We start from the raw sequence: 16,290 nt of genomic DNA, 5'->3' as shown, positions 1-16,290 counted from the left end.
TTTTATATTATGTAATAGCATAGCTCTCTCAACATTTGCTGATTTAAATTTTCTAACCTGCTGCTGTCTTTTCCAGAGAAGTTTGCTTTCCTAAATTGTTGAGTTTCCAATCTTTAAGTATCCTGTCAATGATTCTAACTAAACTTGAAAATATTTCAGCAAGTTGTTGTGGTATTAAAAGGGCTTCGTGAAGAGTCTTACAGTGTTTAAAAGTGTTTCATTCATTTAATAAAACGTAAGTTTTCATTATCATATTGTTTGAACTCAATATTCCTCAATATTTGATTCCTATGGAATAAGTCATTACACAGAAGATATTTCAGTGGGTAAACAATACATGCATTCTTGAGTATTAATACTTTTACAATTCTCAGACATAAAACTCACTTTACGTATGTAATTATTTTTATTCATTCATTGAATAATTATTTAGGACCTACGTCCTAAATAATAAAGTGTCTATGCAGGGTACTGGAGATAAAATGATTTCTTATAGCCACAGTCCTTGTTTTTAAAGAACTTAAGAGTTCAGTTGGAGTAGTATACATCAATTTTTAAAAATCATTCAAATACGAGTAAAATTCAAATATTAAGAGCTACCTAGGAACAAGGTATATGAAAATATATGAAGAGAGACTTATTTAATATGCTTTATGATTTTGATAGCAACAGTATAAAAACTTGGTCATTAGAATCATGTGCCCATGAGTAAATGACCCTAACATCACCTAGTGAATGTCGGAGTTTGGAAAATAGTCAGTGTTCACTAAATCATTTATTGTTTCCGTAGGATAGACTCCCAAGGCAATTTTGCATGGTAATCATAGAATAAGTTTCAGATAAGTTTCTGGCTGCAGTTTTGCCTCAAGAATAGTGTACTTACAGTCCACTTGCACATCCTTGGGTGTTAGCACCTCATGAGTTTTTAAAAAATGGAAGAGAAGAGAATATAATAGTTCTTAAAATAACAGAGATGAATCATTATTGCAGCTAACACTTAGAGTTACCTAATATTGGATCATACCTTGGTGTTACTCAAGATGTTCAACGTGTATTTCCTAAGGTGAATGTCTAACTATGTTTAGTTTCCTCATTGTGCTATTTTGACCTGTAAAATGGCTTTCATCACACTGGTCAGGAGATGGCTCTTAGCAAAGTGATCATATTTCTCCAAGGCTACAGCTACCATCAAGTCTATTCCAACCATGAGCAAATTTCTTCCTTGATCATCAGAAATAAGATAAAAGTAGAAATAACTCTGTTCACCCCAAATGCTTGTATTATTTGCAGGCATAAAATTGTCTTTTAAACAAATAAATATCATTTTTGAATGATAAATACACAGAAAATTCTATATTTAATCATTGCAATATAAACTCTTTGTTACCTATAATTTATTTTCTCTACCAAAGTTACAGCTTTCAATAAGATGTTGAGATGAAAATTCATTTATGTCTCCAAGACCTTGAATTTCTCGCTTGGATTTTGGCACCACTTAATGATTTATTATAGTTTTTTTCTCTATTTTATATGTCCCAAAAAGTAATAGCAGGGATACATTGCTCTTGGTATATTTGATAAATCTTGACAGGCTCTCACTCATTTTCTAAAGTCAAGAAAACTTTATTTTCTTCAGTTGAACTACCCACAACTAACTACTTTATACTTCTTAAAATATGTGTTCATCTTATTGATACATACAAGTCATAAGTTTTGGAAATTTAATGTCAATATATTATGGCACTTGCCTCAACTGGAAGATCAGAACTAACAAAATTATTCTTATTTCCATTTTTTTCTGATGGGAAAATTGGAAAACTGACTTATTGAAATAGCATCAAATAAATGCGTTTGCTTTGTCTGAGGTCTTGTCTACAGCAACTCAGTTTTACTGTGTATAGTAGATGTTAATAAATGTGTTGAATGAATGAATGCCATTTGTGTACTTTATAAATCTTAGCAGTATAATATTTGTCCTCTCAGACCATTTGCATCAAGCAGTTTACACACCAAAAAATAAACAGTTTACAAAAACATTAACATGAATCTGATGCTTGAGGTTTAAAAATATACATGCAGCAAAAAATAGGCTACTCAACACATACCATTATCAAAATATCTGACAGTTGAATTTCTGGATACACTGGGATCGAAATTTGCCATTAAAGGTGCTATGTACTGTGTGGCTGTTAGCATTCGATGTACGACTTCTCCAGTGTATATGAAACCTAGAATTAGAAAAATAGGAAACATATTCAGAAAAAGAAGCCCATATAAAATTATGATTAAAATACTTCCAACTCAATTACAGTCATATTATGAAAATAAAATGTCATGGTAGCTGGAAAAAAAGGAACATATTTAATATCTTAGTATCTAATTAACAATACTTGGTCTGGATTAAGTAACAAATTCTTGTATAATTTGGTAGAACCTTGCAAATCCGAAATCTATAACATGTACAATTTTAATTGGGGGGAAAGTGACCATTATCTGGATGAGATTATTAGGCTAAAAATGCTAATACAGTATTATAAGTAATTCAAATATTCAATTTGCTATTATTAATCCCTTGTTATTTTAACAATAGCTTACCACACAAGTCCTTTTAATTAGTGAATTCATTTTCATGGTATTTATGTAAGCTACCATCTCAGCATAGGAATTTTAGAAACGACATCTGGTAAAATGCAGAAAATGTTTTGATTCTTTTTTTTTTTCTTGAAAGTTGAAAGGGGGCTAAACACCCATGGTGACGTTTTCAAATTGTTGGTTTGCTCAAGCCTCTATATTATCAGCACACTGTCAAGAAGATAAAGTCTATATGTTTGCAGGTAAGGTGGTAAAACATTGACAATGCACAAATGCCTCTCTATTTAGAGATTTAATCAATGCCAGTCTATTCTAGCAGTTGGATAATGAGAGGGAATTTATTATGGAGAACTTTGGCTTTGAATTAACTTTCAATAGCTCCTATGTTACATGTCTAACCCACTTTCAATTATTCACACTAGGTTTATTTACTTTGTGGATTATCCATGACAAATTGTTAATCCTGTGCTGGCTTCTTGCTTTCAAGGTCTTTAGCTGTCTGAAAGGAGAGTCAGCTCAGGGATTGCTAACTAATTTTAATATTAATCTAAGAAATACACAATTGAGATTACACATGCAAATGCACACACACAAATAAAATGCAAGGCAAATTATTTGTGACAATGCAATTGTAATGTTTGGGCAGTCATCAGTTAATTAGATACCCGACACTAATATAAATCATTTTTCTACTTTCACAGGAATTAATAAGATAATAATATTTAAAGCTCAAAAAATGTTAAACTTTGATCACTCATTTTATGGTCTGAATAAATATTTCATTGGCAGATTGCAGTCTTCATTGTTTCAAATTCAAAATTGTGATGTCTAGGTAAGTTATTGCAGAATTAAACCTGTAGTTATTTACTTAGAAATTAATTTCTCTCTTTTTGGCAATATCTTCTTTCCTTTGAATACCTTTTAACTTTTCATCAAAAGCATAATTGAACTCTAGCTATTCATCTAAAAAAATTTTTAACTGTAAAAATCTTCAATGTGTACTTTTATCATCATGACTTTTTGTTTCTTATGTGACTCCTTGTTTCTTATTTGCCAAGCACTATCTTTCAAAACAAATACCTGATGCTTTAAGCAGAATTTTGTACATTTGTAATTTCACACAGCTCAAGCATATTAAACATATTATGGTGATTTGGTCATTGCTTTTATTATATTTCCTTCTAGATTTTCAGAGTCATACTCCTAATATTCAAAGTGCAATATTACATCCTTAACATTATAAATATGAAGAGTAACTCTTTTCCAGGGTCTCTATTTTTTCTCCTATCCTCTCCAGCATGCATTTATAATTTATCATTAGAATGAATACAAAAATTCTATAGATACCATCTCTGAAGAGAAATGTTTGAATTAGACTCTGAAAGTGTTATTTCAGAGAAAATAGCTCCAAGTAGGTTATTTTTCTTCTTTATATTCTCCAAGTACAAATAGAAGAAACTGCTTAACTTGGAGGATGGAGGGCAGTTATTCAAGGAAGGAAGATAATTTTAAATAAATACAAAATCCATTCTCCAAGACAACTTTGTAAGAAGAACAGCAGCAATCCCTAGAAATACACTGTTGCAAAATGTAAGAGCATTGATGATTTCAGACACTTCAAACTTACTGTTAGTATTTAAGTAAATAAGATATATGTACTTTCCCCTCAATGTTTCTACATAGATTTGCCAAGAAACTGCTCCCACTCTCAATAACCCAATTTTTAAATCACAGAAACCATTAACTGTTATTTCTTTTGATCGGGAAAATGTTTCCCAAATCTACAATTTATCAAATGTCAAAGGTGAAATTTCAAATTGTTTCCAAAGAAGTAAGTAGAAATACAGAAGAATTTGTTAACATGTAAAAGCCATAGATATGGTTTTTAATTATTTTATTACTAGAATATTAAAATAAGTTATGTCACTATGAGTATTACGGTTGCTACAACCAAAATGAACAAGAAACTGCCACCACAATTATTAGCATGTCTGGCACTACTATTACTACTACCACTATTAGTACCACCACCACGAAGACTTAACATGAAAAAAAAAATAAAAACCCCAAGAAGGAAAAAAACCCTACTACTCTACAAAATGAGTTTAATTTTACTAATTCAGGGAATATTGTTTGTTTTTCTTGGTCATATTGAAAGTTACTTATATCAATATCTCACGTCAGTTTCTAATGACCAAGAAATAAAATTCTTGACTTCTTGGTGAAGCCCATCTAATGATAGGCTTTACCTAGTTCTCCTTAATTTTCCAGATTTTAAAAATATCACTTCAGTAGTGGTTAATAATTGAGTGGAGAGAAACCTTACAAGCTTTCAGGGCAATGTAATTAGGTGTTAAATAAGAAAGAGTTATGCAAATTAATGCAACAAAACTCCAAAGCTTTAAAGGTACTCACAGATACCAACACCCCATTAGACATTTACTTCTTTTCTTTGGCTGTTCTGGGCATTCCCAGCTAAAGATTAGACGGATAGATAGATAGATAGATAGATAGATAGATAGATATTTTATATATATATATATGTTATTTTTCTGGTCCTTCATTTTTTGGGGTAATTTAAGCAATATGTTTGTTTGTTTGTTCATTTATTTATTTATATTTTTATTTTTTTGAGATGGAGTCTCGCTCTGTCGCCCAGGCTGGAGTGCAGTGGCGCGATCTCTGCTCACTGCAAGATCCGCCTCCCAGGTTCAGCCATTCTCCTGCTTCAGCCTCCTGAGAAGCTGAGACTACAGGCGCCCTCCACCACGCCCGGCTAATTTTTTGTATTTTTAGTAGAGAGGGGGTTTTACTGTGTTAGCCAGGATGGTCTCGATCTCCTGACCTCGTGATCTGTCTGCCTCGGCCTCCCAAAGTGCTGGGATTACAGGCGTGTGCCACCACGCCTGGCCGTTTTAATTTTTATTATTATACTTCAAGTTCTGGGATACTTGTGCAGAACGTGCAGGTTTGTTACATAGGTATACACGTGCCATGGTGGTTTGCTGCACCCATCAATGCGTCATCTACATTAGGTACTTCTCCTAATGCTATCCCTCCCGAAGCCCCCCACCCCCTGACCGGCCCCCGTGTGTGATGTTCCCCTCCCTGTGTCCATGTGTTCTCATTGCTCAACTCCCACTTATGAATGAGAACATGCAGTGTTTGGTTTTCTGTTCCTGTATTAGTTTGCTGAGAATGATGGTTTCCAGCTTCATCCACATCCGTGCAAAGGACGTTAACTCATCCTTTTTTATGGCTGCATAGTATTCCATGGGGTTTATGTGCTACATTTTCTTTATCCAGTCTATCATTGATGGGCATGTGGGTTGGTTCCAAGTCTTTGCTATTGTGAATAGTGCTGCAATAAACATATGTGTGCACGTGTCTTTATAGTAGAATGATTTATAATCCTTCAGGTATATGTTTTAACTATTTTATTTACATGTCTTTGTAGCCATTTGAAGAGCTAATCATACAATGTCTCCTTTGCTTACTATGTGATTCTACTATAAATAGCACTCATCTGCTCATCTGCCTTTGCAGAAAAGTGGTCATTTATGCAGATAATTTGGGACTGAGAAAGACACCTTCATTTAAAAGAATCAAGTAAGAGAAGCAAACATATTTTGTTCTTTGAATCTCAAATAATAGCGAATACACGGCCACTCCATTTTGCCTTAACAACTAGTAAAACCAGAGTCAAATTCTGAGATCAGTTGTAATCAACAGCTTTGTTCTTGTACCTTGAAAACTTTCCTTGGGCTGCTTTCCATAGGTGGTCTCTAGTCGTGTGAATAATCTGTTTTTACATCTGTAAGCCTCATCGAGTCATTTAGGGGATTCTATCATTGTAGATCTTGTCAGGAATAAATCCCATTCAATCATTATAGATTTATTAACCATAACTATGTATTTACTAATCTGAAAAAATATTATTCTGATAATGGTGAAATTAACCAGTATCTATATAGGCCTTCACTAATTATATTATATTCCTTTTTGTTTTTTTTTCTCTGAGACAGAGTCTTGCTCTTTCACCCAGGCTGGAGTGTAGTGGCACGATTTTGGCTCACTGCAAACTCTGCCTCCCAGACTCAAGTGATCCTCCTGTCTCAGCCTCCTGAGTGGCTGGGATTACAGGTGTGCACCACCATGCCCAGCTAATTTTAGTATTTTTAGTAGAGACATGGTTTCACCATGTTGGCTAGGCTGGTCTTGAACTCCTGGTCTCAAGTGATCCACCCGCCTTGGCCTCCCAAAGTGCTGGGATTACAGGTGTGAGCCACTGCACCCAACCTTCATGTATTTTCTTTGTTGTATTCTTGCACTAACTTTAAAAAGAATAATGGTGCAATTAGTGTTATTTCCATTTATTAAATGAAGTATTTAATAAGGCTGGGCAATTTGCCTAAAGCCACATGGGTAGTATAGGTCTCGCAATTCCAAATGTTACAGACTGTTTACAACATATTTTTGCAGTCATTATGTGTCCAGCCTTACAAAAGATACATTAGAAGACAGAAAGTTAGGCAGTATTATTTTTACTTCTCTTGAGGTCATTTCTAAGGCAATCACTCTGTAGGAATGCTGACAATCCCCATAAACAAGTTAAAATTGCCACCAGATGACAGTTTTCACAATTATCCGATAAGTCCTCACTTAACATCTCCAGGTTCTTGGAAACTGCGACTTTAAAGTAAAATAGGTAAGGCAACAATTTCAGCACTGGCTAATTGATATCAGTAAGAATTAAGTTCCTGTGGTATATTTCTGGATACAAAACCTCACCAAACTTCTAAATAAAGTGTTCCAAAAACACTTCTGATATTAAATATTTAAATAAAATTGAGCTCTACGTACATTTAAGAAAGGTTAACAAAAACAGATAAGATAATTATTTATCCAGTTATTTTGATTCTGGGTCACAGGTGGACTGAGCCTTTCCTGGCAGCTAAGGGAGTGAGGCAAGTACCAACCCTGGACCAGATGTCATCCCATCCTAGGGCACATTCCCACATACACCCACACTCAATCATACTGAGACCATGTCGACATGCAGTAAATCTGATGTGCACATCTTTGGAATGTGGGAGGAAACCGAAGTACCCAGAAAAAGCCTACACAGACATGGGGAGAACGTGCGAACTCCACACAGACAACGGCCCTGGCCACGAATCAGTTTTTTTGTGTTTCTTTTCTCATCAACATTGAAGAATGATGTTGAACAGAACAACTTTATTCAAGGATCTGCTATGTACTCTCCCTCATTGGATTTTATACTTAAACAAGGAGGTTGAGGAAGAAAAGACCTGTTCTGTCTGTGCGAAAATTCCAGCACCTATGCCTTAGAGCAGGGTGGTGGCCACCTCAAATCATGCTACTTTTAGTGTAATACCAAAGCCTCTGTTATTTTAATTGGAAGATTTCATAAATAGATTTATATTATATTCCTCTATTGCAATTCATAAAATGAGATGTAAATTGACATAGGAATCACACACGATGCGATAATTCATTTCCTAGTAGAATAAAATGACTTCCTAGTGATGTGACTAAGTTACTTAAACTCTGTGTACCTCAGTTACCTAACCTGCTAAATGAGAGTGTAACAGTCAATATCATTGGGTTGTTGTGATGGCTGAAAGAGTCAGTACTACAAGACGAATGCTTAAAAGTTTGCAGAAAACCAATGAATCACTTATATTTGTTCAAATTTTTATCCCTTGACGCCTTTTCTATGAAGTATTTACAAGTTAATCTTGGACTAATGCTAGGAGATTTATATAACTTTAAAATTGTGCTTCAGGCCTAAATGTATGACATGTATCTATCTGCCTTATTCTTGTTTGAGTTAAGGTACATTATTGATCCTAACTACAGGATAATAGATAACAAAAACCTGAGGGTCCAAAGTTCTTGGTTTGATATATTTCTCCTTACATTCTGATGCAACAAGCACTTTGTAAAAATGTTAACCTCCTATTGGTTGCAAGTGGTTGTTTTGTTTAATTGGAAGTGTCACAGTAATAAAGGATGCACAAAGAAGCTATAATTGCTTGTGAAACATTCCATAAAACTTGAATGTGTAAGGTACTCCATAAAATATTCTACTTCATCATCTTTTAGTTAATATTTTGGACCCAAAAGGAAAGGTTGGAGTTGATGGGTATGCCTGTAGGGCATTGAACATTTGTAGTTTAATGCTGTCTTCAGGGTGCAAATGATAATGGTATATGTCATCTTTGTTATAACGTTATGTACTGTTATCTCTACATATTAATCAAATAGATCTGAAATTTATGATCTTTTATCCATAAGGATTTGAAGACCCACCTCCTCATCGTGATCTCTCACTAACCTTATATATATTCCACTTCTTCTATTCATGAAGAATTGAATTATTTAACTGCGGGTTTGCAGTTATTGTGAATAGCTCAGTGTTGGTGGTGGACAAGTTGCTTGAACAACTTGATGAGGTCTCAGAACAATTCAAATTATGTTTTGCACGAGTTCTATTTTGTAAGTCATGATACAGGTCATATACTATAAACTACCTTCTTTAATACAAATACTTGTCAGATTTTTTAACAAAACCATGTGTGGCAGCAATTGATAATCTGAAAATTAAAAGTTGTGGTAAGTTATTTGGTAATGTAACTGTCTGTCAGCTGCTACAGCACAATGACAGGTTTTACATAACAGACTTCCTCTGAATAAAATTGGTGGTAGTAGACCACATAGTTCACTATGAGGATATCGGCTTGTATTTGCAAACTAGACGGTTAATAGAAGAAATGAAGGGAAGAGATAGAAGCATTCAGAAATTCATGTGAGTTTACTAATCTCTGGTTCCTAGGAAGAAAACTATAATATTGTCAATCACCAAATACTTTCCCTTTATAATTCCAACCAGCTATCAAGTTAAAATATATGAAGGGATTTTTATATTAAAATATATCCATCAGTTCTTAGGAAGCAAACTATAATATTGTCAATCACCAAAGAGTTACCATATTTATACTTGTAACCAGCTGTCAAGGTAAAATACATCAAATAGATTTTGTATACAAAATTAAAATATATTTACATGTGTTAACATATATCACATGTCATAGACTTCTTAATTTTATTGGCACCACTGGGGATTATAAACCACAACGAAACCATTCCTTGGGGGAAAAAAGCAACAAGTGACAACTCTGTTATCAGCTGCAAATTATGTTCATAAAATTACCAATATAAAAATTTGTGTTGACCATATACAGAGGCTCTCCACAGCTCCAGAAAGAACAGGAGCTGAAATGTGTATATGAAGAGGGGAAGATAGACAAAAAACAAACAAACAAACAAAAGCTGAAAATCAAAAACCAAAAAGCCCAAACCTTCTTCCTGATTTTTCACTTTGAACTAACAACAAAATTGTTGATTTCAGTTCTTGTTTCCTCCATCTTGTTCCTCAAAGAAATTCATGTAACATGTTCTTAGTTAATGTTAATTCCTCCTAATGGTCACTGTCAACAGCTCCCCTCCCCACCTCCCTAAATGCTTCGGATTATCTAGGATTTCTAGATATGGGTTCATTCAGAACCATTTCTAGACTGCAGACTATGCATGCCAACCCTTGCAGTTTTATAGTACACAAAGTACCTGGCTTTTCATGGAGACATTGAACTGGCCATCAAGTTTATTTCCTCTATCAAAATAGAACCAAGTAATATTTCAAAAGCCTTAATCGTGCAGGTAGAGTAATGGCAGCAATATGGCAGAATAGGAGTTTCCAGTACTTGTCCACTCTCAGAAAATCAATTTATACAACCATCCATGGACAAAAATACCTTCACAAGAACTAAGAGATCCAGGTGAGAGATTATAGCACCTAAGTGGAGCCCAGAAATAAGAAAAGACAAATTGAAGAAGATAGGTAAGAAAATTTCACATTACCCACATCAAGTCTTCTCCAAGCCTATGCAACCCAGTGCAGAGAAATATACCCTCCAGGTGAGTAAAGTGAGCAGCACCAAGTTTCGCTGTAGACCCCAACACTGGCCCATCCCAGTGAACCCCTTCAGGCAGGCTCATAGAGACCTGAGCTCCAGGCTGGCCCATGTGACTCCAGACTCCAGGCCCACCCCAAAACCAGGCCAACACTTGCAATCCTAGGTTACAGGCTGGCCCCCATGGCTCCAGGCTCCAGGATGAATGATGTGGCACCCGGTACAAAGTAGTTTGGCCTTCACAGACCTAGGCTTCACGTAAGCGCCTGTGAACCCTTGTGCCAGGTTGATTCCCATAGACCCAAGATGTAGGCCCAAACTCATTGACCCAGGATCCATGCCTGTCATGCAGACCCAGACACTAGGATTGCCCAGTTAATCGAGGCTCCAGGCCTGCATCTGCAGACCCAGGCACCAGGTTAGCTCCTGTGGACCCAGGCAGTAGGCCTACCCAAATGCTTATCTAGCCAGCCTGCCCAAAAACTCCAGAAGTAAGCCTGAACATAGATTTTGTCAGCCGCTGGCACAGAATTTCTGGATGGACTGAGTGGTGAAGGACATTCTTTGTCAACATCAGTACATAAAGACTGAAAGAAGTGCCTACTTCTTCAAATGCAGATTACATTACCAATGCAAGGTAACAAGGCTCACAAATAATCAAGGAAACATGATAGCATCAAGATAACCAAATAAAGCACCCATAACAGGCCTCAAAGAATTGGAGATCTATGAACTGCCTGACAAAGAATTGAAAATAATTATCTTGAAGCTGAGTGAGCTACAGGAGAACACAAGTACAAAACTAACTGATATCAGGAAAGCAATACATGAATAAAACAAGAAGTTTAACAAAGAGACAGAAACTATGAAAAAAAGAACCAAACAGAAATTCTGGAACTGAAGAAAACATTAACTGAACTGAAAAATTCCATAGAGAGGTTCAACAGCAGACTTGTTAAAGCAGGAGAAAGAATCAGCAAGCTTGAAGACAGAGCATTTAAATTTACCTGGTAAGAGGAGCAACAACAAAAGAATTTTTAAAAGAGTAAAGAAAGCCTACAGGAATTATGAGACATCATTAAGTGAACCAATATATTCATTATGGGAGTTCCAGAAGAAGCAGAGAAAGAGAAAAGGCAAAAGCTTATTATGCATAAACAATAACAGAAAACTTCCCAAATCTGGAGAGAGAAATGAACGTTCAGATCCATGACGCCCAAAGAATCCCAAGTAGTTTAGACATAAAGAGATCATCACAAAAACATGTTATTAACAAATTCTCTGAAGTCAAAGACATAGCGAGAAATTTGAGAGCAGCAAGACAAAAATCTACTCATGACATGAAAGGGAAGGTCTGTAAGGCTACCAGGGTGTTTCTCAGCAGGAACCTTATAGGGCAAAAGAGAGACAAATAATAAATTCAAAGTGTTGAAAGTAAACCAGCAATGACCAAGAATACTATAACTAGCCAAGTTGACTTTTACAATGAAAAAGAGAGACAGAATTTCCCAGACAAACAAAAGATGAGGGAGTTCATCACCATTAGGACTACCTCACAAGAAATGGTAAAGAGAACCTTTAAGTTGAAATGAAATGATAGAAACTAACAACGCGAAAATATATGAAAGAATTAAACTCACTGTAAAGGTCAGAATGCAATCACACTCAGCTATTCTTATATTCCAATAGTGCTCCACAACTCACTTTTAACTCTAGTATAAAAGTTTAAAGACAAAGGTATTGGAAATATAGCTATAATAATTTATTAATGAATACATAATAAAAAAGATAAAATTGTGAAGTCATCTACAAAAAATATGAGAAGACAAGTTAAAGTGTAGTTTTTGTATGTGGAGGAAGTTACATTGTTATCAGTTTAAAACATATGCTATGACTTGAAGATGTCTTATGTAAGCTTAGTGGTAACCACGAAGGAAAAATTGATGGTAGACATAAAGATAAAGAAGTTAAAGCAAATCACGACAAAAAATTATCAAATCAAAAAGAAGGCAACAAGAGAGGAAGAAAAGAAGAAAAGGGCTATAAAATAGAAAACAATAAAATGGCAATAGTAAATCTTTACCTGTAAATAATTACTTTAAATGTATGGATTACATTCTTCAATCAAAAGACATATAGTGGTTGAATGGATTTTTTTTTTTTAAAGATCAAACTATATGTTCTTTACAAAAGACTTAACCTTAGCTTTAAGGACACTCATATGCTGAAAGTGAAAGGATGGAAAAAGATAGTCCCTGCAAAAATAGTCCAAAAGAGAGCAGGAGTAGCCGTAACTATATCAGACAAAAGAGATGTTAAATCAAAAACTGCCACAAGAGACAATGATAAAGATATCAATTCATCAAAAGGACATAAAATTGTAAATAGTTATGCCCTCAATATTAAGAACATAAATATATAAAGCAAATATTAAGAGAGCTAAAAGGAGAAATAGTTCACCAATACAATAATAGTAGAGGACTTCAATATTGCCACCTTCAGCAGTGGATAGGTCATCCAGACAAAAACAATCCATAAGTATACAGAAGACACGAACAAGACTGAAGACCAAATGAATTTAACAGAGATATATAGAACGTTTCATCCAACAGCAGCAGAATATACATTCTTTACAAATGCACATGGAATATTTGTTAGGATAGATCCACGTTAGGTCAAATAAAAGTCTTCACAGATTTAAGAAGATTTAAGTAATACCAAGTATCTTTTCAGACCACGATGAAATGAAATTAGAAATCAATAAGAGGAGGAAAATTGGAAGCATTTGCAAATATGTGAAAATTAAATAACATAGTTCTGAACAACCAATGAGTCAAAGAAGAAATCAATAGTGATCTTAAAAGATATCTTGAGACAAACAAAAATGCAAATATAACTTTCCAAATTTTATGGGATGCAGCAACAGCAGCCCTAAGGGGTAAGTTTATAGCAATAAATGCCTACATGAAGAAAAAAGAAAGATTTCATAAAAGCAACCTAATATGACACCTCAAGGAACAAGGAAACAAGAACAAACTAAGCTTAAGAAAGGATATAATAAAGAGTTAGCAGAAGGAAGGAAATAAAAAAGATCAGAATATATATGAATGATATAGGGACTAGAAAAAACAATACAAAAGATTAATGAAACTAGGAGTTGGGTTTTTTTTCTAAATAAACAAAAGAGTAACTTTTAGTTAAACTAAGAAAAAATAGAATAATAAAACTGTAAGTGGCCGGGTGCAGTGGCTCACGCCTGTAATCCCAGCACTTTGGGAGGCTGAGGCAGGTGGATCACCTGAGGTCAGGAGTTCAAGACCAGCCTGACCAATATGATGAAACCCTGTCTCTATTAAAAATACAAAAATTAGCTGGGCATGGTGGCATGTGCCCATAATTCCAGCTACTCGGGAGGCTGAGACAGGAGAATTGCTCGAACTCAGGAGGCGGAGGTTGCAGTGCACTGAGATTGCACCATTGCACTCCAGCCTGGGCAACAAGAGTGAAACTCTGTCTCAAAAAAGAAAAAAAATTATAAGTGAAAGAAGAGATTACAATTGATACCATATAAATATAAAATATCAGAAGAAACTACTATAAAAATTATATGCCAACAAATTCGATAACCTAGAAGCAGTGTATAAATTTCTGGAAACATACATATTACCACGTCGGAACAGAACAGTACAGAAACACTAAATAGAATAGAAAATATGGATAAAAGAAACCAGAACAAAAAACAGAATAGAAAATCTGAAAAAAAAAAAATAACAAGTAAAGAGACTTAATCAGTAATCAAAAACCTCCAAACAAAGAGATGCTCAGGACCTCATGGCTTTACTGGGGTAAATTCTACCAAACATTTAAAGGATATTTAACACCAATACTACTTAAAATCTTCCAAAAAATTTGAAGAGAAAGAAACACTTGCAAACTCTTTTCTCATGGCCAGCATTACCTGGATACCAAAGTCAGACGAAAACGTTACAATAAAAGAAAACTACAGGTCAATATCCCTGATGAATGTAGATGCAGAAATCCTTACCAAATAATAGAAAATCTAATTCAACAGCACATTAAAAGGATCACTACCCATGATCACATGGGTTTTATCCTTGTTTTAACATACACAAATCAATAAATGTGATATACTACATTAATAGAATGAAGATTAAAAATTATATGATCATCTCGATATATGCAAAAAAGCATTTGACAAAATTTAACATCCTTTCATGATAAAAACTCTCAACAAATTAGGTATAGATGGAATATAACTTAAAATAATAAAGAATATGTATGACAAGTCCACATATAGTATCACACTCAATGATAAAAAGCTAAAAGCTTCTCGGGATTAGTAACAAGATAAGGATACTCATTCTTGCCACTTCTATTCAATATAATATTAGAAGTTCTAGCCAGAGCAATTAATCAAGAAAAAAGAAATAAAAGACAAACCAGAAAGGAAGAAATAAAATTTTCTTTGCAGATGACATAATGCTCTATATACAAAACCCTTAAAACTCCTCCAAAAACCTGTTGGCATTAATAAACAAATTCAGTGAAAGTACAAGATACACAATAAACATGCGAAAATCAGTTGTGTTTCTATACACTAACAACAAACTATCCAAAATAGAAATTAACACTCTCACATACAATAGCACCAAAATTTAAAATATTTAGAAATAATTTTATCCAAAGAGATAAAAGATCCGTAAACTGAAGCATTGGTGAAAGAAAATTAAAGAAATCACAAATAAAAGGAATGATATCCTGTGATCATAGATGAGAAGAATTGAAAATTAAAAATATTAAACTTTCCATGTGACCCAAAGCAATCTACATATTAAATGCAATTCTTATCAAAATCCCAATGGCATTTTCAAAGAAAAAGAAAAAAAAAATCAAGAAATTCATATGGAACCACAAAAGGCCTGTAACTGCCAAAGCTATCTTGAGCAAGAAGAACAAAGCTGGAGGCATCACACTACCTGATTTCAAAATCTACTACAAAGCTACAGAAATCAAAACAGAATGGTTCTGGAATGAAAACAGTCACACAGACCAAAGGAACAGAATAGACAGCCCAGCCCTAAACCTAAGCATTTATGGTCATTGATTTTCAACAACTATGACAAGAACACAATGGCTGAAAAGGTAGTCTCTTTAATAAATAATGTTAGAAAACTAGATATCCGCAAGTAGAAAAATAAAATTGGAGCATTATTTCACACCATATACAAAAATCAACTCAAAGTAGACTAAAGGCTTAAATGTGAGACCAGAAACTGCAAAACTATTAGAAGAAAACACAGGGAAAATGTTTCCTGACATTGATCTGGGCTACATATATATGTGTATATATATACACATATATATGTGTATGTGTATATATATATATGTGTATGTATATATGGGATGACCCCTAAAACAAAACACAAATGGACAAATGAGATTTCATGAAACTGAAAAGCCTTTAAAGAAAACGATCAACAGAGTCAAGAGAAAACCTACAGAATGGGAGAAGACATTTGCAAATTACATATCTGCTAAGGGGTCATTATTCAAAATATATAAAGAACTCCGCTCAATAGCAAGAAAGCAACCCAATTAAACAATGGACAAATGACTTGAACCGACATTTCTCAAATGAAAACACACAAATACCCAATAGGTACATAAAAAATGCTCAGCA

The 16,290-nt window shown here is 34.3% G+C and overlaps 1 protein-coding gene across 3 annotated transcripts in view; it reads right to left on the bottom strand.

Moving 5' to 3' along the window:
• Positions 1-16,290, bottom strand: part of PLXDC2 (plexin domain containing 2) — a 473,425-nt gene that overhangs the window by 144,334 nt on the left and 312,801 nt on the right. For all 3 annotated transcript variants that reach the window (NM_032812.9, NM_001282736.2, XM_011519750.3), the window contains one exon: positions 2,106-2,228. In NM_032812.9, coding sequence (NP_116201.7) covers positions 2,106-2,228 — 123 coding nt within the window. The remainder of the gene's footprint in view (positions 1-2,105; positions 2,229-16,290) is intronic.

The sequence above is a fragment of the Homo sapiens genome, chromosome 10 (genome assembly GCF_000001405.40).
Source record: "Homo sapiens chromosome 10, GRCh38.p14 Primary Assembly".
In the NCBI taxonomy this organism is placed as follows: Eukaryota; Metazoa; Chordata; class Mammalia; order Primates; family Hominidae; genus Homo; species Homo sapiens.
The sequence above is the reverse complement of the archived record's forward strand: the minus strand, read 5'-3'. Positions and strand labels throughout refer to the sequence as shown.